General features: G+C 47.6%; 2 long non-coding RNA genes across 2 annotated transcripts, besides 1 other annotated feature; one reads left to right on the forward strand and one right to left on the reverse strand.

Moving 5' to 3' along the window:
* The first annotated feature begins 3,239 nt into the window (after nucleotides 1–3,239).
* Nucleotides 3,240–6,425, forward strand: LOC124902770 (uncharacterized). The gene is made up of 2 exons (XR_007062918.1): nucleotides 3,240–3,879; nucleotides 6,162–6,425. It is a non-coding gene; the product is annotated as an uncharacterized LOC124902770 (long non-coding RNA).
* Nucleotides 5,593–10,018, reverse strand: LOC107984398 (uncharacterized). Its single transcript, XR_001748412.2, has 2 exons — nucleotides 8,703–10,018; nucleotides 5,593–8,144 (listed from the first exon to the last, which is right to left on the reverse strand). It is a non-coding gene; the product is annotated as an uncharacterized LOC107984398 (long non-coding RNA).
* Nucleotides 12,177–12,991: an enhancer, noted in NCBI's record as "H3K27ac-H3K4me1 hESC enhancer chr11:119456019-119456834 (GRCh37/hg19 assembly coordinates)". NCBI's record gives its function as "activates a minimal SCP1, AML or CMV promoter by ChIP-STARR-seq in naive H9 embryonic stem cells {active_cell/tissue: H9 hESC(naive)}" and the evidence as "EXISTENCE:reporter gene assay evidence [ECO:0000049][PMID:30033119]".

Raw genomic sequence — 26,969 nt, forward strand, 5'->3', positions numbered from 1 at the left:
ACAGACAGAAGTTGCATCTAGGAAAGCCTTAGGAGGTTCCAGCTGTTGATTTTGGGAGAACAAGGGAAGACTGCCTGGGAGTTCTTGCTGCCACCAGCAGGGGCGGCCTGAGTGCTGTCGGAGAGGCCCGGAGGAGGAGAAGTGTGGGTGCTCTGTTGCTCTCACCTTTCCCACAGCTTCCTGATCCCCCTTCAGGATTTTTCACCTGTCCACACACCCGAAATCACCAGCACTCCCCAGCGTCCTCACCCCAACTTCCCCGGCTCAAGCGATCCTCCTACCTCAGCCCCACGAGTAGCTTGGGACCACAGGTGCATGCCACCACACCTGACTAATCTATTTATTTTTTGTACAGATGGGTCTTGCTATGTTGACTAGGCTGGTCTCAAACTCCTGGCCTCAAGCAATCCATCCACCTCAGCCTCCCAAAGTGCTGAGATTACAGGCATGAGCCACCATGCCCGGCCACATTTGTTTCTTGTTCTCATGAAATTCCCATGCCTCTCTGGGACAGCTCTCCCTGGATCCAAGCTTGTCGATCTGATAAAGCCTCCACCTCAACGCTTGCCTCAAAGAGTGAAGAGAGAATGAGGGCCTCATATCTACTCTTCTATGCTTCAGTCTGGAGGTAACACTTAGACCCATAGCCTGCTAGTCAGAGCAAGGCGCACAGCTCTGTGACCTGCAGGCCCTGGGAAATGCAGGGAACACACAGATTGAGTATCTGCAGTCAAGCCTCTGTTAGTAGCAGTAACAAATGTAGTAGCTGTGTCTGCTAAAAGCCTATAGGACCATGCTACCAGTTCATATCCAAGTTCCTGCCTAGTCCTCGATAACTATGATCTGGCCTGGCTGATGCCTCCCAGCCCATCACCCCCATCTCTCTTCAAATACATCTTGCAAAGTCCTTCCTCCCAGCCCTATTCATGCTCTTCTTCTGCTTTATCAACTGTCACCACTTCCTTCCTCTTTCCTAAGTTCTTCAGGGCCCAAATCAAGTTCAATCTCTTCCTCAAAGCCTCCTTTTGGCTTATCCCTTAGTGCTATCCCTTCTTTGAGCTCCTCCAGGGCTGATTTTTAAGCTTCTCAGTCAGCCCTGAGCATATACTCCTTCTATATGTCCTCTCTAGTGTAGGGGAAGAAAAATAATTTTGTCTTCAACCTTCATAGGTTCTTTGTTAGCATGGACCCCTGTAACAGAGGACAGATTAACAAGAGAAAATAAAGTTTATTCACCTGTATATTTCATATATACATGGGAGACACCCAGAGAATGAGTAGTTCTCAAAGAGGCAGCTTTGAATTCCAGCTTATAAGCATCTTCAACAAAGAACAGTCAGTTTTGTTTATTTGTTTTTGAGACACAGTCTTGCTCTGTCGCCCAGGCTGGAGTGCAGTGGTGCGATCTCAGCTCACTGCAATCTCCACCTCCCAGGTTGAAGCGAATCTCCTGCCTCAGCCTCCCGAGTAGCTGGGACTACAGGTGCCCGCCACCACGCCTGGCTAGCTTTTGTATTTTTAGTAGAGACAGGGTTTCACCATGTTGGGTCTCCAACTCTTGACCTCATGATCCGCCCACCTCAGCCTCCCAAAGTGCTGGGATTACAGGTGTGACCACCGCACCTGACCAGAACAGTCAGTTTTTATGGTCAGGTGCAGCTGCGCCTGTAATCCCAGCACTTTGGGAGGCCAAGGTGGGTGGATCACTTGAGGTCAGGAGTTCGAGATCAGCCTAGCCAACATGGTGAAACCCCGTCTCTACGAAAAATACAAAAACTAGCTGGGCCTGGTGGCGATGTGCCTGTAGTCCCAGCTACTGGGGAGGCCGAGGCAGGAGAACCACTTCAACCTGGGAGGTGGAGGTTGCAGTGAGCAGAGATTGTGCCACTGCACCCCAGGCTGGGTGACAGAGTGAGACTCTGTCTCAAAAAAAAAAAAAAAAAAAAGGACTTTGATTCTCCAGGGGCAGCAACTTGTGGGTAGGCAAATAACTGGCAGATAAAGGTTAGTTAGTAAAGCTTGTTAATATAGATTCCTGTGGTACCATCTTCTGGCTGGTAAGGGTCTAAAGTTGTCCTCCATGGTTAGCTTGCATTCTCTTAGGTAGAAGAGGGAGTGGGATATCTTTCGTCTTTGTAAATCGATGTCCTGCTTTCGGGCACATAGAGGCAGAGTAGAGAGCTTTCCTGCATCTGCTTCTAAACTGCCTTCAGCCCAACAATCCATCTTTTGGGGTGGCTTTCTTGTCTCCCCTACTAAACTATAACCTTTGGAGATCAAGGGTTATATCTTTCTCTTCTTTGCCCTCTCAGTGCCCTACTCTGTAGGGCTCCTAATGACTTTAATTCCCAAATGGTTACAGGGCACCTACTAAATAGCAAACACCATGCTAAGCACTAGGGATGCAAAGAACAGTAAAATATGACCTGGGAAAAAATAGGATTTATATGCACCTGCTATGTGTCATCTAATGACTAAGAAAGAAAGACAGCTCTGGAGTCTGCCTGGGGTTGAATCCCATCTCTGGTGTTAAATTAACTACAAGACCTTGGGCAAGTTACTTAACTTCTTTAGCCTGAGTTTTCTCATCTTCAAAAATAGTAATGATCATTACCTACTGTATTAGCTCCCCAGGGCTGCCGTAACAAATCACAAACCGGGTGGCTTAAAACAACAGAAATTTATTCTCTCAAAGCTCTGGAAGCCAGAGTCCAAAATCAAAGTGTCAGCAAGACCATGCTCCCTGGGAAGGCTCTGGGGAAGAACTCCTTCCTTGCCTCTTCCTAGTTCTGGCGGCTCCTGGCAGCTCTAGGTGTTCAGTGGTTTGTAGCTGCATCATTCCAAGCTCTGCTTCCATCTTTACAAGACATCCCCTCTTATGCTCTCTGTATCGCTCTGTGTCCTCTCCTCTTCTAAGAAAGACACTAGTCACTGGATTTTGTTGTTGTTGTTGTATGAAACTCTTGTTGCCTAGGGATTCTTGTTGCCTAGGGTTTCTTGTTGCCTAGGGTGGAGTGCAATGGCGCTAACTTGGCTCACTATAACCTCTGCCTCTCGGGTTCAAGTGATTCTCCTGCTTCAGCCTCCTGAGTAGCTGGGATTACAGGTGCCTGCCACTGCGCCTGGCTAATTTTTTTGTATTTTTAGTAGAGACAGGGTTTCACCATGTTGGCCAGGCTGGTCTCGAACTCCTGACCTCAGGTGATCAGCCCACCTTGGCCTCCCAAAGTGCTGGGATTACAGGCGCGAGCCACCATGGTGGGCCCGTCACTGGGTTTAGGGCTCACCCTAATCCAGTGTGACTTCATCTGAACTAATTACATCTGCAAAACGCTATTTCCAAATAAGGTCACACTGTGAGGTTCTGGGTTGACAAGAATTTTTGGAAGACACTTATTCAACCCACAGCACCTATCTTATCAGGTCATTGTGAGGATTAAATGAGATGATGCCTGTGAAGCATTTGGCACAATGGCTGGCACATAGTAAAATTCATTGAATGTTAGTCATTTTTAGGACAGTAAATTAATCAGCATTATTTTTATTTATTTATGAATGTCAGAAACCCAATTCAGTCCTTGTGTGGCTGGATCTGGGTGCTCAAATGAGGCTATGGAGGACCTTTCCTTCTTTGTCGCCCAGCTTTCTTCATTGTCTTTATCCTTAGGCACACTCTCCTAGAGAGGTGGCAAGAAAATCTCTCAGCAGATCTAGGGCTCCATTTGACCAGCTCATCATGCTTGATGGAAAAGGATCACCTCTTTCTCAGTAGCGTCAGCCAAAGTTCCAGGGCTGAATCTCATGGAAACAATCTGGAATATGAGCCTATCCCAGAACCAATCTCTGTGGCCAGGGGGATGCACTATCCTGAACTAGCAGGTAGGGTGGAGGGTGAACCACCTGAGCTGCAAGTGACGGAAGGGTGGCTCCCAAAAGAGAAGTCAGAATGTGAACCCTCAGATCTCAGATACCAAGTCTGCAAAAACACAAATATAGACCGTGACAATGTTGTGTGCCAGCTCCTAGTATGGTCTTTGGCACAGTGTAGAAGTTCAGTTAATGTTTGTTGAATAATCGTATGAATAATGCAAGAAAACATGTTAGGCACCAAGTAAAATGCTCATGTTGGCGGGGCGCAGTGCTCACCTCTGTAATCCATGCACTTTGGGAGGCTGAGGCAGGTGGATCACTTGAGGCTAGGAGTTCAAGACCAGCCTAGCCAACATGGTGAAACCCCATCTCTACTAAAAGTACAAAAATTAGCTGGGCATAGCGGCGTGCGCCTGTAGTCCCAGCTACTGAGGAGGCTGAGGTGGGAGGATTGCTTGAATCTGGGAGGCGGAGTCTACAATGAGCCGAAATTGTGCCACTGCACTCCAGCCTGTCGACAGAGTGAGACTGTCTCAAAACAAAAACAAAAACAAAACAAAACAAACAAACAAAACTCATGTTTTCTCACTTCCCACTGCAAAGAAGATATTCCATTTTGCAGGTGTGGAAATTGAGGCTGACTGAGTTTAAGTGATCTAAGATGACAGAACAAAAAGCAGTAGAGCTAGGATTCAAAGCCAGGTGGGTTTCATTGCAGTGCCTGTGTTATTTCTATTACACCATGCTGCCTTTGTCCACCAGACTCACAGCCAGAGAAGAAAGTTTGAACACACACCACTGTTAGGTGCAAAAACAAAATGAGTTTGTTGATGAAGATGCTGATTTAGAGGAGGTAGTGGAGGAGAAAGGAGAGAATAAACCTAAAGAGGATGTTGTAGGGAATTCACCCTGAGAAATTCAGATCCGCCTCTGGGACTGGAGAAGGAGGACATTCCAGGAGCTCCGGAAGAGCCCAGTAAGTGGGTGAATCAGGTGACCTAATCCACCAAAACAGCTGCTGTGTCTCCAAGAGGGAGGGGGACATCAAGTCTGTGAGGGTCACCCATGCGTCAATAGTTCATCAATTATTGATGGTTTTTCTTTTTTGATTGCTATGTAGTATTCCATTGTATAAATATGCCATAATTCTATTTTTTGAGATGGGGTCTCATTCTGTTGCCCAGGCTGGAATGCAGTGGCCTGAACTCCTGGGCTCAAGGGATCCTCCTGCCTCAGCCTCCCAAGTAACGGGGACTACAGGAAATATGCCATAATTATTTTCTCCATTCAGTTGTTGACGATATTTCGGTTGTTTCTAGTTTTTTGCTATTAGGAATAAGCCACTATGAACACTCTTGTGCATGTCCTTTGGTGGCCATAGCATGCATTTCTGTTGGATACACTCAGGAAAAAAATTGTTGGGTCATCCAGATGTCCCCCATTCATCGTTGGCTGTTCTTTGTCTTCTACCTCTCAAAGCCCCTCAGATAGTGCAGAACTCCTGCCTGTCTAGAGCTCTCTAAGCCTGGAGGCAGGGGGTTGGACAAGGTGATCCCCCGAGGCCTCTCAGCATTTCTCTGAAGGATTTAGCCATGCGTCTCTGGCCCCAGCTCCCGCCAGCATCACTGTTTGCTCACAAAAACGTTTCATGCGATTAGCCAAGTAATGACATCTTAAAACTGTAGAGCTAATATATTACGTAATAAAACACAGAAGCAAATCTCTTTGACACATACTGGTGATTTACTCCACCAGCCATAAAGATAATTACATTTCAGGTTGATATATAAAAGGCGGCAGGCAGAGCTTATGAAAAATTAGCATAGCTTTGTGTTGGACCTCTCCATTCATGGGGACCAGTTCATCATTCCTTCTGCAGTTAGCCAGCAAACATTGACTCAGCTGGGCTTTCCCAGTGACTGGTCACCGCTGCCACTGGAAGGCCCTGTTGGCAGCATGGAAAGGGCAGGTGAAGAGGGCCAGGTCTGAAGTGTAAGGCGTTCATTCCTACAGGCAGCTCTGTGACATTGAAGCTGTCTTCACAGGGTTAACAAGAATTCTGAACAGAAATATGGTTATGATTAAGCATTAATCAGGCCGCACTTTGACCAGCTTCCTTGTAACCAACAGTCATGGTAGGACTAGATAGATACTGGCCGTTTGCATCCCCATGGTTCCTATAGATAGGATTTCTGATGTTAGAACCACAAGACTTTTGTTTAAGCTAGATAGGATCTCTGACATTAGAATCACAGGGCTCTCATTTAAAAATTGCTTACAATGTCTTTCAGATCCCCAATTCCAGTAAGACAGCTTATGCCAACCAGTTTGAAGACCCCCAGAGAAGAACAGAATCAATATGAGAATACAGTTTCTTCACCTGCCTGTCTTATGGCTCCAACCTGCACTCTTTGACCAATCAACAATCTCCACACTTTGGCACACTCCAAAACCCTTAAAGACACTATCCCCAAACTCCTCAGAGAGTCGGATTTGAGGTTTCCTCCTGTCTCCTTGTTTGGTGGCCCTACAATTAAACCTCTTTCTCTGCTGCAGTCTGGTGTCTTGGGCATATTTAAAATTGCCTTTGCAAAGATTATGACAGTGAGAGAAGTCTAGCAAGGCTGACTCCCTCTTGCTTCTAGCCCCCCAGGCTGGCTGTCCTCACTCATTCCTGGGCATAGGCCAAGCTAACCATGGGAGGAATTTAGTTTACAGTTTAACTTTGAAGAAAGGATGATAATAGTCCCTCTCTAAAACTGATCCCCTCCTTGTTAGGGGGCTGAAACTGCCTTTGTAAGACCAATGGAAGGCCACAAGATTACAAATATAGAAGGGGCCTGAATTCTGCTTAAATGTAGGGCGGGGCCGGGCACGTTGGCTCATGCCTGTAATCCCATCACTTTGGGAGGCTGAGGCAGCAGTTTACGAGGTAAGGAGTTTGAGACCAGCCTGGCCAGCGGGGTGAAACCCTGTCTGTACTAAAAATACAAAAAAAAAAAAAATTAGCCGGGCATGGTGGCTCATGCCTGTAGTCCCAGCTACTTGGGAGGCTGAGGCAGGAGAATCACTTGAACCTGGGAGGTGGAGGTTGCAGTGAGCTGAGATTGCACCACTGTACTCCAGCCTGGGTGACAGAGTGAGACTCCGTCTCAAAAAAAAACAAAAAAAAATGTAGGGCATAGTTTCCATCATCTCTTATTGCTAAGGAATTGTTGTGGCTAGAGGTCACAAGTTTTGTGACTTCCCCATTGCTCCTACAGATACCACCACTACCGATCCCAGAATCTAAGATTAGTCTTCTGAGATGTATCTCAGACTTCTGCATTCTGGCAACCAACTGAGCCCACCTGGACTTAATGATTCACGACTCAACCAGTCCTGTGCCCTCACCCCAAACAGAGGCAGACACAGTGGATGAGGACAGTTTCCCACTGTGATTGCATCCCTGGCCAATCAGCAGCACCCATTCCTTAGTTCCCTGCCCACCAAACTATCCTTGAACAATTCTAACCTCCAAGCCTTCAAGGAGATTGATTTGAGCAATCTCCAGTTCTCCCATGTGGCTGGCCTATCATTAATTAAATTCTTTACTATAATACCACAGTATCAGTGAATGGGTTTTGTCTGTGCAGCAGGCAGAAAGAACCCACTGGGCAATTACATGGTGACTTGCTGAATGCATCAGGCCATGGACCTATTGCAGTTACAACACTGTAGAAGAAGCATCTGGCCTGGGAGACAGGGTGCCTTGTCTCTGGGCCTGATTAGCCACCACCAGCCTTAAGCAACTCACCACCTCCCTTGGAGTCAACATACATGCTGGGAGCAAGAGGCTCCCAACTCCTCGCTGATCACCCAGGAGAGGTTTACAGTAAATGCTCTGAACTTCCAGGACCAATTTTCCAAAGCAAAAGTCAGGTCTCTCAGTCTGACAAGTTGTTTCTTCTTCTTCCTTCTTCCCTTCTCCTTCTCCTTCTTCTTCTCCTCCTCCTCCTCCTCCTCCTTCTTCCTCCTTCTCCTCTTCTTTCTCTTCTTCTTCCTCCTCCTCTTCCTCTTCTTTCTTTCTCTTCTTTCTTCCTCTTCCTTCTCCTTCTTCATCTCCTTCTCCTTCTCCTTCTTTTTTAAATCAGGCAGGCTCCCAAGCCCGAGTAGGCACAGAGAGGTTACTGGCGCATTTCTAAGGATGAAGGGACAAGGAATTTGCAACTGAGCTGTCCTGGTGTCATTGACCTCAAGGATTCTCTTCCCCATTGTTGCCCTAAAGGTAAAAACTGAGGGAAAATTAATATAAGAAGAGAGTTTGTTTGCACCAAGTTCGAAGACTGCAATCAGGGAGCATAGATTTAAGTTGCCCTGAATATAAGCTTAATTAGCAGCAGTTACAAGTGGGTTTTCAAAAGAAAAGAAGAGGCAGTTCACAGGTTGTTTACCAAGAATCTACACTAAGATAAGCTGGGCAACAGAGTGAGACCCCTGTCTCTATAAAAAAAAAAAAAAAAAAAAAAAAAAAAAAAGGCCAGGCACAGTGTCTCACACCTGTAATCCCAGCACTTTGAGAGGCTGAGGCTGGTGGATTGCTTGAGCCTAGGAGAGCAAGGCCAGCCTGGGCAACATGTCAAAAACCCTGTCTCCACTAAAAATACAAAAAATTAGCCAGGCGTGGTAGCACACGCCTGTAATCTCAGCTACTGGGGAGGCTGAGGCACAAGAATTGCTTGAATCTGGGAGGCAGAGGTTTTGATGAGCCAAGATCGTGTCTCTGTGCTGCAGCCTGGGTGACAGAGTGAGATTGGGTCTTAAAAAAAAAAATTACCTGGGTATGGTAGTACCTGGCTGTAGTCCCAGCTACTCCAGAGGCTGAGGCAGGAGGATTGCTTGAGTAGAGGAGGTTGAGGCTTCAGTAAGCAATGATCATGCTACTACCCTCCAGCCTGGACAACAGAGTGAGACCCTGTCTCTAAAAAACAAGTAATAATAATAATAACAACAACATAAGCTGTTCATTCGTCATTTGCTATTCTTTGTATCACAAATTTAGGAACCTGAAGATAATGGGTGAGGCAGCTAGTCAGGAACAGAATCCCTTTGAACAATTGCTCCTGGGCCTGGGTGGAGTATGAGGAGGGATGTGTATGACTGAATTCCCAAACTCCTGTCTCTCAGGGCCTGATCAGTTTTGCAGGGCTTAGACCGCTCTGAGCTATTTTTCTTTTCTCACCATGTTCTCTACTGCCCCACACCATGAGGCAAGGGCTCAGAGGGAGTTCAGTGAGAAAAGAATTTGGAAAAAACGCTCAGGCATCAATATTCAAAGTCCTTGTTTAGAAATAGGAAACTAAGGAAGACAGGAGCCCCTGGGTCATCCAGATTCTGTAGAGGAGGAAAAATACCTTTTCCTTCCACCTTTCTTAGGTTCATTGGCTGGAACACCTGTAACAAAAGACAGATTAACAAGAGAAAAACAAACAGAAGTTTATTAACCTCTATACCTCATGTACACATGGGAGATGCCCAGGGAAAAAGGAGTACATCTCAAGGAAGTGGTTTAGAATTCAGGCTGAAATACCATCTTCAGCTGAAACGAAGAAAGAAGGGTATGAGGGAGGCCAGTTATGGGGAGGTGACCAGGAAAAGCACAGTAAACAAGGGTAAGGTTTGCTATGCATATTAAAGTCAGTGCTTATCCATTGATAAGTCTCTAGTGATTTGGAGACATCCTTCTCTTCCTGGTACAGAGAGGGAGACATCCTTACAAAGGGAGATTTCCTTTGTAAATGTAAATTTCCCATATGAAAGGGTAACTTCTACTCTGTTTTCAGTTTCTCCTGTGTCTGCAGATTCTCAAAATAATTAACTCAAAATAATCCTTATGCCAGAGAGGCATATGCTAGGGTGGTATATTCTGGTCCCCTACAGTCATATTTTGGTCTCCTACAATTCACAGAGAAAACTAGTGTCAGAGACGAGACTAGAAGCCAGCACAAGATGTATAGAGCCAAAGATATGTTGCTGCCATTCTGGGTGAAGGAGCCCAGAATCTAATGTGGTGTCTGCTCCTTCTCTTACCTGGGCACAAACCGAGATCTATTTTTTTTTTTGAGATGGAGTCTCGCTCTTTCGCCAGGCTGGAGTGCAGTGGTGCAATCTCAGCTCACTGCAACCTCCACCTCCCGGTTTCAAGCGATTCTCCTGCCTCAGCCTCCTGAGTAGCTGGGACTACAGGTGCATGCCACCACGCCCAGCTAATTTTTGTATTTTTAGTAGAGATGGGGTTTCACCATGTTGGCCAGGATGGTCTCGATCTCCTGATCTCGTGATCCACCCGCCTTGGTCTCCCAAAGTGCTGGGATTAGAGACATGAGCCACTGCGCCCAAACTGCAATCTTAAAGGAAACCCAGCCTCATGCTTCGTCTTTTCTCATGTTTCCCTGCCCCTCTTCTCTTGCTCAGGTGCTGGCAGCCTGTCTAGTGGAGGGTTGCTCTGGATGCAGCAAGGTTGGACAGGATGAGCTCTAGAGAGCCAGGGCTTTTGATCTTAGACCTGGGGAGAGGTGGGACCTGGGAGGTGAGCTGCAGGTAACCCAGTTGCAGTAGCCATTAGCCAGCTGTGAGCCCTCGGGAACTGGGAGTCAGGACTCCTGGGATCTGCCTCCTTTCTCTCTCCTCCCTGGTCTTCTGAGGCCAACTCATCTTTGGTTTTCCACTGGGAAATGTTTTCACCTCTCCAAACCTGGACAGAGCGCCTCCTCCTGGCTGAGTGGGGATGTTCTCCAGAGAAACTTGGGACCTTGGGGAGCAACACTGCACACATGGGGTTCATCAAAAAGCCATTTGCAGGCAGGGTGTGGTGGCTCACGCCTGTAATCTCAGCACTTTGGGAAGCTGAGGCGAGTGGATCATCTGAGGTCAGGAGTTCAAGACCAGCCTGGCCAACATTATGAACCCCCATCTGTATTAAAAATACAAAAATTAGCCGGGCGTGGTGGCATGCATCTGTAATCCCAGCTACTCGAGAGACTGAGGCAGGAGAATGGCTTGAATCCAGGAGGCAGAGGTTGCAGTGAGCCAAGATTGCACCACTGCACTCCAGCCTGGGTGACAGTGTGAGACTCTGTCTCAGAAAAAAAAAAAATGCCATTTGCAAGGGTGAGAGTTGCATCCTCTGAGCCCCTAGCCCCTCCTCCTTGGCCTGAATGCAGGAATGGCAGGCTTGGGCACTAGTTGGATGGTTGGAGGAGGACTCCAACTCAGAGCAGAGCAGCACGCGGGGCCTAGAAGGCAGTATGGGAGCCACTTCTAGGTTCTGGAATGTGCAAACTCAGCCACGCACAAACCCTCAGCTTCCGGCCCAACCTCCTGCTGAGTTATTGAGGCAGATAATGGAAGAGGGGGGGCGCCTAGAAACCCCCAAGCCCCTCCTCCTGCCCATTGTGTCCTCCGATTCCCTCTTCCGCGGCTCCGCGCGGCGGAGCTCAGGGGCGCAGGCTCTTAGAGCTGCGGTGGGGCGGGGGCCGCGGGACGTCCGTTTGTTCTCCGCGGAGGAGGCGACGCGCCGCCAACGACCGCAGCTCCACGTCCTGGCGCTTCTGGGAGCCGCCCCAGCGGGAGCCAGGGAGAAAATGAATCGCCTTGAGTGACACAGGACATGGCAGATTGGATGTTTAATTTGGGTATCTCTTTAGAACGCCCCCCACGCCCACCTCCTCTGCTCCCACTTAGCATCCAGCCGGCGAGAAAGCCCTGCTCCTCACAAATTGCCTTGTCGGCTCGGAGAAAAATGCCAGCGTGACTGATTGCTAGGTGGGTCCCTCCAAGTGCGCGGGAAGGAACCGGCACGACCGCACAATGCTCCTTCCTACAGAGACGCGGCGTCGTGCCAGAGCCGGAGATTTGAGTCAGACACCGGGAAGGACTGCCCGTGGAGGAGGGCGGCTCGTGGGGCTGGGGGTTTGTTTAGGGGTCTCTCGGGTCCAGAGGGAGGGCCAGGCGACCCTGGCTGGGGTCTGGTGGCTGTGGGGGGCCTGCGGGGCCCAGAGGAAAAGGCCGGCACCCGGTCCGCGAGAGGGGGCACGTACGGGGCGCAGAGGCAGAACGCAGCCCGCAGCAGACGGACAGCCTTCCCCAGACTGCCTGGAGCTCGGAGCCCGGCGCCGAAACCTGCAGATCACAACCTGTCAGTCGCGCTTTCCCGGCAGCCTCACCTGCCTCCAGATCTTTCCAAACAAGGAAAGGAGCTGCAAACATGGCAATCACCTTCCCGGCAGCGGCAGACAGCTGCCAGGGAGCAGCAGGCGACGAGCCAGCCCAGTCAGGGAGGCGGAGACGTGATCAGGCTGCGGCAGCCCCCTATACCGAGCTAGAGCTCGGGCGGACCCCGCCCCCCGCCGCAGGGACTTTGGTGGATGTCCAAGGTCACCCGCAGCTCGGCAGGGGTTCAGCACCGGAGCAGCCACCTGTTCAGGTGGCAGTTCTGGAAGGACCCCTCGGGGCTGGGGGAGGGTGGGACTAGGGCCGCACCCTGGCTTTTGCTAACCATTTATGTGACTGGGGCAAGCGCCCTGGCCTTGGACTCTGACCACACCGCACAGGGCCTGGGGTCGCTTCCATGCAGCTCTCTCATTCTGATTCTGGAGATATCTTGGGAAGAGCTAAGAGTGGCTTTTAGGCCCTGAAGCTGGGTAGGGCCCAGAAACCACACTTTCTAGGCTGTGGAGTGGCCCTGATCCTCTCTTCATTGTCCAGATTATTGCTTGAAGCCAACTCAGTGGGGTGTTGAAGTGGCTAATCCAAGCTACTTGAGATGAAGAGGTGTTGGAAGGACTGACCCGGGATAAACCTGAGTGATCCCAGACTCAGGCTCTCAAAAGGCTGGAATGAAGAACCTCCTTTGGAGGGTTAATATAGGAGAATTTAAGGGGTCCCCACCTTCCTTCCCATCAGCCTGCTTAATGTTACTACCCATGCCAAGGACAGCCCGATGGGTGCGCCAGCTTCCCTTAGAACTGACTGCCTTTTACTCCATGAACTGTTTGAGATTGTGTGGGTTCTTCTGAGTTCTTGAAAGTATAGGACAAACAGAAGGGAGGATGCTCTCAACATGAATGTGGATAATTTGCCCCCAGTGAAGCCGCAGTGTGGGTAATTCACCTGTACAAATCAAGAGATGGATGCCTTTTCCATCTGGTCTCATTCAGATGTCTTCTCAAATCAGAAAATATCTACTCTTTAGCTCCCAGCCCAGGTGACACTTACTACTCCTTCACCAAGCCCACCTTCCCAGCTTCTTCACATACAGTAGCGGATGAATCGCCCCCCCCACCCATGCCACACGGAACAGGGCCATCAAAGTGGCCCTAGGCCAAGGGGAGGTCTCTGCCCCCTTCCCCAGCCCGGGGCTACCCTTGGGTCCTGCTCCTCAGGCCACTCCCCTGTCCCTGGCCATGTGGGGAGGAGGCTGCCCTGGTCATGGCCGCCTGCCTGTCATTCCTGACTCACCACCATCCCCAGGTGTACCATTCCTGCCCTCTGCTCAGCTGCAATTGAAGGCTTTAACTTTGCACACTTTGGGATCACGGTTGTGTCATTGGAATAAATTAAGCAGGTCTCAACCGCCTCCCCCACCCCAGGAAAAAAAAAAAGCCAGGGGGGGCCCTAGAATGAGAAAGCTGGAGGGAGCGGGCAGGAATCCACTTAAAACTATTCCTTAAGCTTAAAACATGGTGTAGGCGGGGAAAATATGATCAGATGGAAGTTAGGGTGGCAGAGAATGTCACCAAGTCATCTTGATCCATTGCAAGAAAGAGGCTGGGATCTGGGTGCCGAGGAAACCTTCACCAAGCTGTGTGAAGAAGACTCAGCCTTTCCTCAGTATCCTAGCTAGCTCTCCCTTCCCGTGCCACACCTTCTCTACTCTCTAAAGGGGCTTAACATCCTCATGCTCTCTGCTTCTTCACCAAGTTTTCAGCAAAGTATCTCTAATAGTCATTTACACCTGCATTAGAAGATAAGTTCCCGGGTGACAGCTTATGTAAATGTTCAGGTCAACTTTTCAGAAGGTATTTGCTATGGTTTGAATGTGTCCCTCCCAAAAGCATGTGTTGGAGGCATAATTGCTATTGTAACCATATTAAGAGGCGAGCCTCTTAATACGGTGGTTCATCCTGTAATTCCAGCTATTTAGGAGGCTGAGGTGGGAAAATCGCTTAAGGCCAGGAGTTTGAGACCAGCCTGGGCAACATAATGAGACCCCATCTCCAAAAAGTAAAAACATAAAAAATTAGCTGGGTGTTTGTAGTATGGCTATTAGCAGGTAGTTGGTGCCAGCTACTCGGGAGGCTGAGACTGAGGTGGGAAGATGGCTTGAGCCTAGAAGTTTGAGGCTGCAGTGAGTTATAATTGTGCCATTGTACCCCAGCCTGGGCAACAGAGTGAGACCTCGTCTCTAAAAAAACAGAAAAAGAGGCTGGGCATGGTGGCTCACACCGGTAATCTCAGCACTTTGGGAGGGTGAGATGGGCAGATCATGAGGTCAGGAGTTCGAGACCAGCCTGGCCAACATGGTGAAACCCCACCTCTACTAAAAATACAAAAATTAGCTGGATGTGGTGATGTGTGCCTGTAATCCCAGCTACTTGGAAGGCTGAGGCAGAAGAATCACTTGAAACTGGGAGGCGGAGGTTGTAGTGAGCTAAAATCATGCCATTGCACTCCAGCTGGGGTGACAGAGCAAGACTCTGTCTCAAAAAAAAAAAAAAAAAAAAAAGAAAGAAAGAAAGAAAAAGAAAGAGGCAGGATCTTTAAGAGGTGGTTAGCCATGAGGGGTCTGCCTTCATGAATGGATTAATGCCATTGGCCATTGTCTCAGGAATGGGTTCCTTATAAAAAGAGGTTAGCCCTTCTCTCTGTCTTCACCCTCTTCCTCCCCCCTCTCTCTCCCCCACCTCCTCTCTCTGTCTCTCCCGCTCTCTCTCGCTCACCCATGTGATGCCTTCTGCCATGCTATGGTGCAGCAAGGGCTTACCAGACGCCACCCCCTCAGTCTTGGACTTCCCAGCCTCCAGAACCATAAGCCAGTAAATTTCTATTCACTATAAATTACCCAGTCTGAGGTATTCTGTGGGAGCAGCACAAAACAGACAAAGATGATATTCATATTTAAATAATGTAAGACTTTTTATATCTAACTCTGGACTTTCTTCTCTGGTAAAAATAAGATCAATGTTGATAGCACTTGGTCTCAGAGCCCCTGACGTTAGCACTAAGTTATAAGCACTTACTCTGCCATCAGATATGGTGGCCCTGCTGAGCCTCTGGCAGTAGGACGAGCCCAAAGCAAAGAAAGTGGTCCCAGTGCCCTTCCCTCCTTCCACTTCCTGCTCCAGGTTGATGGGCTGGACACAAGGGTTAAGATTAGGGGATCTGGCCAGGAGCAGTGGCTCACACCTGTAATCCCAGCACTTTGGGAGGCCGAGGTGGGCAGATCACTTGAGGCCAGGAGTTCAAGACCAGCTGGGCAACACAGTAAAACCCCGTCTCTACTTAAATTACAAAAATTAGCTGGGCGTGGTGGTGCACGCCTGTAATCCCAGCTACTCAGGAAGTTGAGGCAGAAGAATCGCTTGAACTCGGGAGGCAGAGGTTGCAGTGAGCCAAGATTGCGCCACTGCACTCCAGCCTGGGTGACAGAATGAGACTCTGTCTCAAAAAGAAAAAAAAAAAACAAAGCAAACAAAAAAATTAGCCAGGTGTGGTGGCACACACCTGTAATCCTAGCTACTCAGGAGGCTGAGGCAGGAGAATTTCTTTAACCCAAGAAGCAGAGGTTGCAGTGAGCAGAGATCACGCCACTGCACTCCAGCATGGGCCACAGAGCAAGACTCTGTCTCAAAAAAAAAAAAAAAAAAAAAAAAAAAAAGATTAGAGAGTCAGGCCCAGAGATTCCTGAAAGGAGCTTTGTCAGTTCCCCCTTGTCCAGAAAGGACTGAGTAAGCCCACTCTTGGTCTTTTTCTGAATCAGCCTAAAAGTGGCCTCTCTTGGTTGGGGCAATTTTGGAGAGCAAATTGCAAGGGGCAGAAGCTTGGAAAGGGCTAAAACTAAGGAAAGAGGGTATTGTTGCAGCCAATGCCAGCTGTTCCCCCTCCCAACCCAATGCTGTGGACTGCTGGCTAATGGGTGCACATGCTTTTTAGTCTCTGGCTCTTCTCTGCCATTCCCACCCCACAGCTGGAGTGTGCTTGGCAGAGGCACATAATTGGCTCTGTGCATTGGAGCCAGTGAGGCAAGAGCTACAGTGTGAGGGACAGAAGGGAGATGACAGGGAAAGAAGGATCCTGCACCTTTCTCTCTGCCTACCCACTGTGATTCCTTCTGCCTTCAGGTGGGTCACAGAATGGTGGAACGGAAAGCTCAAGAGATCTGCAGTCAGAAGACCTGAGATCTCTTCATTTGCTAGCTGTTACCTAATTTTGTTTAGCCTTATTTTTCCCATCTGTAAAACTGGGATATTGGTTAGGGTTACAGACAAACACAGGTTGGGAGGATGCTCTTTGGTGTGGGAAGGAACTTGATAGTCTGTAGAGGGATGTGCAGATGTGAGTTGTTATTCCTACTCCTGTCTTGCAGGAAGTGGGATGCCTGGCCAGACACCTCAGCATCCATATCACTCATCAAACCACCCCCACCCCTGCACATACAGGTGCATGTTCCATGGTAAACCAAAACAACAGCCTCAAAAACAACCAACAAAAACTGAAGTTGTGATATGTATCCACGTGGGTTCCTCCCAATCCAACAAAAGTTAGACTTGGGCCTCTAGGACTCATTCCAGTGAGGACCCTCTGAGCACTCATGAAAGCTTTCATGGGAGTCTGCAGGAGGGAAGGAGGGTGGAGGAGGGGCAGGATCTCTTCAAAGGGCAAATTAATGCATGCCAAGCTAACACATGCCAAGCACCATTACTGAGCATCCCCTGAATGCCCATATTTGCTGGACATTTCACAGGAGCCAAGACAACTCTGATGGGTTTTACAGTCATTGGAGATGATAAGTAAACCTTCCTTCAAACAGAGAAATAATGGGAAATAATGGGAAACAGATTGCAGTACACACAATTGGAGAAGGAAGGAAGCTGTTTTCAGAGCCCTAGGCCCATCCCATCAAACAATGGTGCTCCAAGGGTAAATTGAGTTCTCTTTGGCTGGGCAGAGAGCATGAGGCCAAGAGGGAAAGATATTGGGGTGCCGAGCATCACAGCAGGCTCCCTTTCTGCCTTCCCACACCAGTCCCCTGACACCGACTGGATGTCACTCAATTCAATTCAATTCAATTCAATTCAATTCAATTCAATTCAATTCAATTCAATTCAATCCAATTCAATTCTGACATCAGCTACCTGGCGTTAGCACAAATCCCACAGGTTAAGGGGCTTAGTCCCGCAAGACTGCCCACTTCAGGTACCAACTACAAGTCCTGGGTGTCCTCAAGCCACTCACACTTCTGCCTGCCCAGCTATAAATTCGGGGGTTCCTCTACACCCTCATTTTGGGTTGATAAAGAATGACTCAGAGAACTCACTGGAAGCATTATATTTACAATTACCATTTTATTGTAAAAGATACAAATAAACAGCCTGATGAACATGCACACACAGCAAGGTCTGGAAGAGTCCCAAGCACAAAAGCTTCTGTTGGAGTCAGGGTGTGCCACCCTTCTGGTATGCCAATATTAGTATGTTTACCAACCAGGAAGTTCTCCAAGCCTTGTTGTTCAGAGTTTCTGTTGAGGTTTCATTATGTAAGCATGATTGATTTAATCATTGGCCATGTGACTGGACTCCATCTCCATCTTTTCCTGGAGGTGGAAGGGAGAGGGGAGGGGCTGAAAGTTCCAACTCTTTAATCCCTTGGTTGGTTTTCCTGAGAACCAGCCTCTGTTCTGAAACTGTCTAGGGGATCTGCTGTGAGTCATCTCATTAGCATAAACTCAGGTGTGGCTGAAAAGGGCTCATTATGAATAACAAAAGACATTCCTGTCATTCAAACTTCTGAGGGTTTTTGAAGCTCTGTGCCAGGAACCTGGGACAAAGACTAAATATATTATTTTTGACTTTATCCCACTTTCCTACTCACAGAGAAGAAGGAAGAGAATGGGGGAGCATCCTGAGTGTTTCGTGACTTCATTGTGGGAGGAGGCGCCGGAACTGTATGAGTGGTTGAAGGAAAGTATGAAGAAAACAGAATCACAGATCATCTTTACTTAACTGGAGGTCTATCCTACAGAAGAGGGAGCCTCTGCCAGGAGGAATTTGGACCAATGAGCGAAAGTAATGGGAAACCAGTTTTCAGCAGGAGCTGATAGGGTGGGCTGCCTTGAGAAGTAATAAGCTCCTAGAGAATATTTTAACAGAGCTGAATGCAAGTTCCATGTGAGCATCAACTCAGTCGGACTTGACTTCTGCTGTGTGCCTGGGGCCTGAATATTACCTGACAAACAGTAGATGCTTACTAAATATTTGGTAAATATTTGTTGAATGCACATTTGTGGAGGAGAAGGGAAGGTAGTTTAAATAACATGAAAACCTAGGCCCAGTCATAAGTCTTTAGTATCCAGCCGTTGTGCTGGCTTTTGAGGCAAAAAACAAAAAAACAAAAAATTCTTCTTAAGAAGCTCACCACAGTAAGTGCTGTAAGTGGGGAGATAGACATTTATGTCTAGAGCAAAGTTTAATAACAAACAAATCAGTTCCAGTTAAAGATGGCAAGTTGAACCCATTCATTAGTTTACACTCCCCAAAGCCCATGGAAATAACAGTAAAAGGATTTTATTAAAAGGCATAAGCCCATCAGTTCAAAGGTGGAATGCAGATGGAGACTTCCAGTAAAGATGGTGAATTGAATGCACACAATTCATCTTGCTCTTCTTGAAAACCCTAAAGTGACTATAAAGGGATTTTTTAAAAATCAGAAACCCATAAAGGTGGAGATGAGACAGAAATTCGGCAGGACTTGTTTTACAAGATGCGGGTCACAAGGACACTGCTGATAAAACAGGATGTGGCAAAGAAGCCAGTCAAAACCTGCCAAAACCAAGATGGCAACAAAAGCAATCTCTGATTGTCCTCACTGCTCATTATATGCTAATTACAATGCATTAGCATGCTAAAGGCACTCTCACTAGCGCCATGACAGTTTACGAATGCCATCGCACATCCAGAAGTTACCTTATATGGTCTAAAAGAAGGAGGAACCCTCAGTTCTGGGAAATCTCTGCCCCTTTCCTGGAAAACTCATGAATAATCAACCCCATATTTAGCATATAATCAAGAATTAACTATAAATATAGCCGGCCAACAGCCCTCAAAGGCTGCTCTGCCTATGGAATAACCACCTTTTATTCCTTTAGTTTTCTTCTTTTTTTTTTTTTTGAGATGGAGTTTTGCTCTGTTGCCCAGGCTGGAGTGCAGTGGCACGATCTTGGCTCACTGCAACCTCCGCCTCCTGGGTTCAAGTGATTCTCCTGCCTCAGCCTCCCCAGTAGCTGGGATTACAGGTGCACGCCACCACGCCCTGCTAGTTTTTGTATTTTTAGTAGAGATGGGGTTTCTCCATGTTGGCCAGGCTGGTCTGGAACTCCTGACCTCAGGTGATCCACGTGCCTCGGCTTCCCAAAGTGCTGGGATTATAGGGGTGAGCCACCGTGCCCAGCCTATTCCTTTACTTTCTTAATAAACTTGCTTTCACTTTATTCTGCTTGCTCTTGAATTCCTTCCTGTGCTTGAATTTCTTCCTGCACAAAGCCAAGAACCCACGTGGCCTCCCGGGCTGAGCCCCAATTTTGGGGTTTGCCCTGTGCCAGAAATAATGGGAGAGAAGACAACAGCAGCCCAAGTTTGGAAACTGTAAAGCAATGAATGAGTAAACTGAGTAGACTGGGAAAAGCTGAAGCCCAAACTGAAAGAGGGGAAAGCTAAAAAGCCAATTCCCACCCCCTTTCTCCAAAACCCCTCCAGAGTCTCAGGCATTGGTGACACTACTGTTGCTGGAAAGTAGAGTGAGGAAGGGAGTTAAATAAGGAGCTCTTGGGCCGGGTGCAGTGGCTCATGCCTGTAATCCCAGCACTTTAGGAGGCTGAGGCAGGCAGATCACTTGAGGTCAGGAGTTTGAGATCAGCCTGGCCAACATGGTGAAACGCTGTCTCTACTAAAAATACAAAAATTAGCCAGGTGTAGTGGCAGACACCTGTAATCCCAGTTAATTGGGAGGCTTAGGCAGGAGAATCACTTGAACCTGGGAGGTAGAGGTGGCAGTGAGCCAAGACTGCACCACTGCACTCCAGCCTGGGTGACAGAATGAGGTGCTGTCACAAACAAACAAACAAACAAAAACAGAGACTGGGTAATTTATAAAGAAAATAAATTTATTTTTTATAATTCTGGAGGTTGGGAAGTCCAAGAACATGGTGTCATCATCTGCTCAGTTTCTGCAAGGGCCTTCTTGCTGTGTCATAGCATGGTGGAGGGCATCACATGGCAAGAGGGCAGGAGCATACATGTCAGTTCAGGTCTCTTTTCCCTGATGGGACTGGTGGCTTTATAAGAAGGAGTTTCACTCTGATGATCTTACTTAATCCTAAGAATCTCCCAAAGGCCCCACCTCCAATTGACATATAAATTTGAAGACTGTTTCCAACACGTGAAACTTGGGGAACAGATTCAAACCATAGCAGTGGCTGGGCACAATGGCTCGTGCCTGTAATCTCAGCACTTTGGGAGGCTAAACCTCAGCAGAGGGGTGGTTTCCCCCATGGTGTTCTCATGATAGTGAGTTAGTTCTCATGAGATCTGATGGTTTTATAAGTGTCAGGTTTTATAAGAGGCAGGAAAAATCACCTGAGGCCAAGAGTTAGAGGCTAACCTGGGCAACATAGTATGACCCTTCTCTCTCTCTCTCTTTTTTTTTTTTTTTTTTTTTTTTTTTTTAGATAGAGTCTTATTTTGTCGCCCAGGCTGGAGTGCAGTGGTGCAATCTTGGCTCACTGCAACCTCTGCCCCCCAGGTTCAAGCAATTCTCCTGCCTCAGCCTCCTGAGTAGGTGGGATTACAGGCACCTGCCACCACGCTCAGCTAATTTGTGTATTTTTAGTAGAGATAGGGTTTCACCATGTTGGCCAGGCTGGCCTTGAACTCCTGACCTCGTGATCCACCTGCCTCAGCCTCACAAAGTGCTGGGACTACAGGCGTGAGCCACCGCGCCTGGCAGTGTGACCCTTCTCTACAAAACATTAAAAAATTAGCTGGGCATGGTGATGTACACTTGTAGTCCTAGCTACCTGGGAGGCTGAGGTGGGAGGATCCCTTGAGCCCAGGAGATGAAGGCTACAGTGAGCTGTGATCACACCACTGCACACCAGCCTGGGCAACAGAGTGAGACTGTCTCAAAAAAGAAAAAAAGAGTAAACTATAGCAGTGGATAATTGCTGTTTCTCCATGCTGGCAGAAGACTGAGGTTTGTTCTTGGAAATGGTAAAACGGGATCTCTGGATTGGGGGATACCAGGTTGAGGATAGAGATACTATGTTAACAAAAAAAAAGGGGAAAGAGATGAAACTGTTGGAAGAAAAAACTTCCTCTCTACCAGCTTGGGTCTGTGTAGTTGGGGCCCTGCAAATGGATGGACATTAGACAGATTAACAGGAGAAAAGACAAATGTGCAGGAGCAGTCAGTAGTGAGTGCCTTGCTGGACAGCAAGAGTAAAAGGTTTATACATGGTTAACAAAAGAAGGGGTTAGGGCTTCAAGTATGGGAGGTTCTGATGAAGTTTCTTTACACAATTTTTTTGGAATGTCGTAGTGTCCAAGGTCAGTTGACCTCCCTGGAGGGTGGGAGGGGGGCAGGGTTGTGGCCGCTGACTCACATAAAGCTGTGTTTTAGTCAGATAAGGAACATGCAGATCATATATCTTTCTGTTTCTCCTTTTGTGTTTTTGGTCTCTTCAAAATGAACTTATGCATATAGGAGCCTGACGCCTCCATATCCCTCTCCTGAGAATGCTGACAGTCAGGCCTTTACTTTCTAAGCCAAAGACTGGAAGAGTTTTTTTCTGGGGAATCTGGTTAGCTCAAGAGGAAAGATTTAAAGATACAGACATCAGAGGTTCCCCAACTACATAGCCATTCACCCTACAGGGATCTCATGGTCAGACAGGTCCCACTCACCCACTAAGAGCTTCCAATTAACAGTCGGTCCCCAACTCTCACACAGGAGCTAATAATGCGGGAAAGTCAAGACAAACAAGACAATAAGCAACTCAGCAGTGCTAAGTGCGATGTAGGAAGAAGAAAACTTCTGAAGAACTATTATTAATATCTTTAGATAGATAAGTGAAGATAATTGCATGAAATAAGAAATGGATGCTATATAAAAGAACAAAAAAGAGCTCTTAGAAATTAAAAATATAACAGGAGAAATTGAAAATTTCAGTAGAAGCATTAGAGGATAAGGTCTAGGAAATGTGGGGGCCAAAGCCCTCGAACTTCTGGAGTTTTGAGGAAAATTTAACATGCAAAAGACGAGTATGAACAGCTATGTAGAAATACGATAGAAAGAAAGAGGGTCTGACCTAATGCTGATAGACTGAGTGGGGAAACCCAGCAGGGTTGTCTGTCCAGATTCTTCTCGGCCTCTCTGAGAATGCTTTCCTTCCGTTGGGTGTGCGCATCGGGACCCTCTCTGGATTAGGGGGTCTCACAACCTTCAATCTAACAAGGTAGGTCAGATAATTTCTTTATGCGCAGTTTTTTATGCAGAAAGGCAAAGGGAAAATGAGAGTAATCTTTTTAGGTTTCATGGCTGGCTTTGGGGAAAAAGGATTCTTGTTTCTGTGGCTGGCCTTGAGGGAGAACTGGACTGACAGACAATGGGCAGGAGAAGATCAGAGAAGAGCTTTTGCTTCTGAGGCTGCTGCTGAGGCCTTCATTTTGGGGTATTGTTTCCTGAGCCCAAACAAATCTCTCAGAAAGTGGAATGATATGGTTTGGCTGTGTCTCCACCCAAATCTCATCTTGAATTGTAGTTCCCACAATCCCCATATGTCATGAGGGGGACCTTGTAGGAAGTGATTGGATCACAGGGGCGGTTTCCCCATGCTGTTCTCATGATAGTGAGTTCTCACACGAGATCTGATGGTTTTATAAGTGTCTGGCATTTCCCCTGCTGGCACTTCTCTCTCCTGGCACCTTGTGAAGAAGGTGCTTTGCTTCCCCTTCACCCTCTGCCATGATTGTAAGTTTCCTGAGGCCTCCCCAGCCATGCAGAACTGTGAGTCAATTAAACTTCTTTCCTTTATAAATTACCCAGTCTCAAGTAGTTAATTTTTTTTTAATTTTTTTTTTTTTTAGACAGAGCCTCACTCTGTCACCCAGGCTGGAGTGCAATGGTGCGATCTCAGCTCACTGCAACCTCTGCCTCCTGAGTTCAGGATTCTCCTGCCTCAGTCTCCTGAGTAGCTGTGATTACAGGTGCACACCACCATGCCCAGCTAATTTTTGTATTTTTAGTAGAGATGGGATTTTGCCACTTTGGCCAGGCTGGTCTTGAACTCCTGGCCTCAAGTGATATGCCCGCTTCGGCCTCCCAAAGTGCTGTGACTACAGGCGTGAGCCCCTGCACCCAGCCCTCAGGCAGTTCTTAATAGAAGTATGAGAATAGACTAATACATAGAACAAAGAAGACAAAGAGATAGAAAATAGAAAAGATAAGAAAATTAGTGGAGTGGTCCAGGAAGTCCTCTATATGAAGGAAAGAAAACCTAAACAGAGGAGGGGAAGTTGTAAACTAACTCAAGAAAAGTACCAGGCCAGAAGAACATGAGTTTCCAGACTGAAAATGCCTACCAAGTGTCCAACATGGTGAAAAAATAGCTCACACCAAGGTGCAAAATCATGAAGAGAAGATTCTACAAGTTTCCTGAGAAAGACAAGGGAAAAGCAATCACTTACAAAGGATCTAGTATCAGAAAGCCATCTTTAGCGTCACAATCATGTAAATATTGATCTAACAAAAATTGCAATATACACAAATCGTCAGGATGGAGAGGAGGAGTGTGTGTGTGTGTGTGTGTGTGTGTGTGTGTGTGTGTGTGTGATGGCAGGAGGGGGAAGATGGCCAAATCTTCATACTATTTAATGGAAAGTCAATAGATAATGCCAAAAATGGAATAACAAAGACATAGCAACATAAGCACATTTTAAAGAGATTTGGAGGTAAATATCCAAAGAATCAGCTAAAAGCATTGAAATAGTTGCCTCTAAGGAGTGGTTGCCTCTGCCTGGGGTGGGTGAGGGGTTGGAAAGCAAGGGATTACTGTCGTGTTTTGTTTTTAATTTCAAACCCAGTAGAATTATGTAACTCTTTAAACCTTGTGGATGCATAAAATTAAAAAGTGGAACTAAAAAAATGTTGGGCACATGTTTTTTGCTATGATGTTGTATGTATTTGGATGTCATCTTTCATAATAAAAATGTTTTAAGGAGAAAAAAATCCCAGGCCTGATGATAACGTCAGAGGAGGGAGAGATTTCTGTGGGCTGGAGAAGCCTTCGTGAGTGGGGCTTTCTTGAGCTGAGTGGTGAGCTTGGATGAGAGTTAAATGGGCAGCGGGAGGGAGGGGGCTTTCTGTGATGAGGAGGTCGCAAAGAACAAGGGTTCAGGGATGCTCTGATGTAGGTGTGTTTAGTATGTCCGTTGCTCTGGTTGGGTAAAATGCTACCCCCTCCCCCTGTACTCTGCTCACACAGTGAAAGATGAGGTGGATTTTGGGGGAGACAGAAAGCCAGGCAGAGGGATCTGGACTTCCCCTGTGAGGCTGGCACCGTGGGATGAAAGGTGTGCCTGAAAAAGCAAGCTGCCCTGGCCACAAGCAGGATGGGCCCATGGGAGAAGCTGGGGCCGTGACTTTGCAGCAAACCAGTGATGGCCTTGGGTGGTGGCAGTGGAGAGTGGAGAGGGAAAGAAGGGAAGGGTGAAAGAAGGTTTTGAAGTTGAAGGAAAAGAACTTGTTGGTGGCTGGAGGAGAGAGATGGAGGGAAGAGTCCAAGGTGGTGGAGGCTTTGTGTGTGGGAGAAGGATGGAGATGTGGGGAGAAATAGGAACACAAGGAGTGGGATTGGGGGAACCAAGGATGGGGTTTGAAAGTGTGTAGGGGCAGAGGGAAGGATCCGCAAGTAGAAAGGACTTCCTGCGAATTGGGAGGGAAGAGAAACAGCTGATCTAGAGGAGAAGTTCGAGGTGACGGGCCAGAGTCCACTGTGACAACTGACATGTTTCTCAGGCTTTGCAGCCTTTCTCGGGCCCAGCCTCATTCAGCTTTGTGGGAGAGGCAGACTTATCTCCATTTTACCAAAGGGGAAACTGAGGCTCCCAAGAACTTACCCAGTGGTCACATATCAAAACTCTCATTTTTTGCCCAAACCACTGTGGTAGGTGATCGGAGTGGATGTTGCCCCTGAAAGAGGTGTGTAGAGTGAGGAGAGCAGAGGGTACAGGGGCTGAGCACCCCCAGGTGGAGGGCTGGGGAGGCAGGGGAAGAGTCAGACAGGGAGACAAGAGAAGGGAGAGTCTGGTACAGATGGGGAGAAAGCACAGGGTTGAAGGGGATGTCAGGACAAAAACAGCTGCAAATGAGATGTACTAGGCTCATGCCCCAGGCCGAGCAATGTGCTCAGCTTCTTATCTTATTTGGTCCTGAGGACAACCCTATGAAATAGGTGAGGAATTAGTGAGGAAACAGGAACTAAGCCCTTTCCAAGCCCACTCATCAGTGAGTGTTGCAGCCAGGATTTGAATCCCAGCATCTGACTCAGAGACCTGGAATCTCAACTCTGCCATATTGCAGGCCATAGGCCTGCCAGCTAGTGGGTAGGAGATAGGAGCAGTGCTTTTTTTAAGAATTTAAATATATATATATTTTTGAGACAAACTCTTGCCCTGTTGCCAGGCTGGAGTGCAGTGGCATGATCTCAGCTCACTGCAACCTCTGCCTCCTGGGATCAAGCGATCCTCCTGCCTCAGCCTCCCGAGTAGCTGGGACTACAGGCACGTGCCACCATGCCCAGCTAATTTTTTGTATTTTTAGTAGAGACAGGGTTTCACCATGTTAGCCAGGATGGTCTCGATCTCTTGACCCTGTGATCCGCCTGCCTCAGCCTCTCAAAGTGCTGGGATTACAGGCATGAGCCACTGCGCCTGGTCAAACATCTTTTTTATATTAAAAAAATAGAGTTTTAAACCATTTACCAAAAATAGTGATGCTCATCATAATAAATAAAAGTAAACCACTACTAAAAGCCAATGGGACTTCCTCCTTTACCCCCTCTACCCCCAGACATTGGTGCACTCACCCCGCTATGGGTAGGGATGGGACTGCCTGGGACCCCAGATCAAGGGACAAGCTTCGGACCTGGGTGGATTTCATAAAGGACGAAGCCCTTGGGATGGTGTATGAACGTTTGTGTTTCTGCAGACACAAACAGCATGGCTGTGGGGAGCAGCCATCAGCGTGAGGGCCCCTCAAAAGTTAAAAAGCTACTGATGCTGCCCTGTGGCCTGGCCTGCTCTGCGGTGAGCGTCCTGCCTGTGCAGAAAGAGGGGAGTGTGTATGAGAGAGTGTGTGTATCAATGTGTGTGTGTGCACATATTTGTGAGTTTCATTGTGTGACTATGTGTGTGGGTCTTGTTTGTAATGAATTGTGTCTGTGAGCAAAGAGTTGTGTATGTGCCTATAAACCAATGTCTGTATGTGTGTATGTGTGTGCAGGTATGTGAGTCTGTAAGTGAAAGTGTAAGGATGTCAATGGTGATAAATTGTGTATCTGGGGACGGGTACGTTTGTGCATGGGAGCGCCTGTGTATTAATGTGTGTGCATATGTGCATGTGAACAGAAGTGTGGGATGCATGTTCTGTGATTATGGGTCATGTGTAAGAGGGCAGATGTATATAAATATGTGTGTCAATTATGTGATGTTGTCTGTGGATGGAGTGTGAGGTGTATGTGGTTATGAATCATGTGCCTGGGGCACGTTGATTTGGGGTGTGTGTGTGTG

This window comes from Homo sapiens, chromosome 11 (genome assembly GCF_000001405.40).
Source record: "Homo sapiens chromosome 11, GRCh38.p14 Primary Assembly".
Classification (NCBI taxonomy): domain Eukaryota; kingdom Metazoa; phylum Chordata; class Mammalia; order Primates; family Hominidae; genus Homo; species Homo sapiens.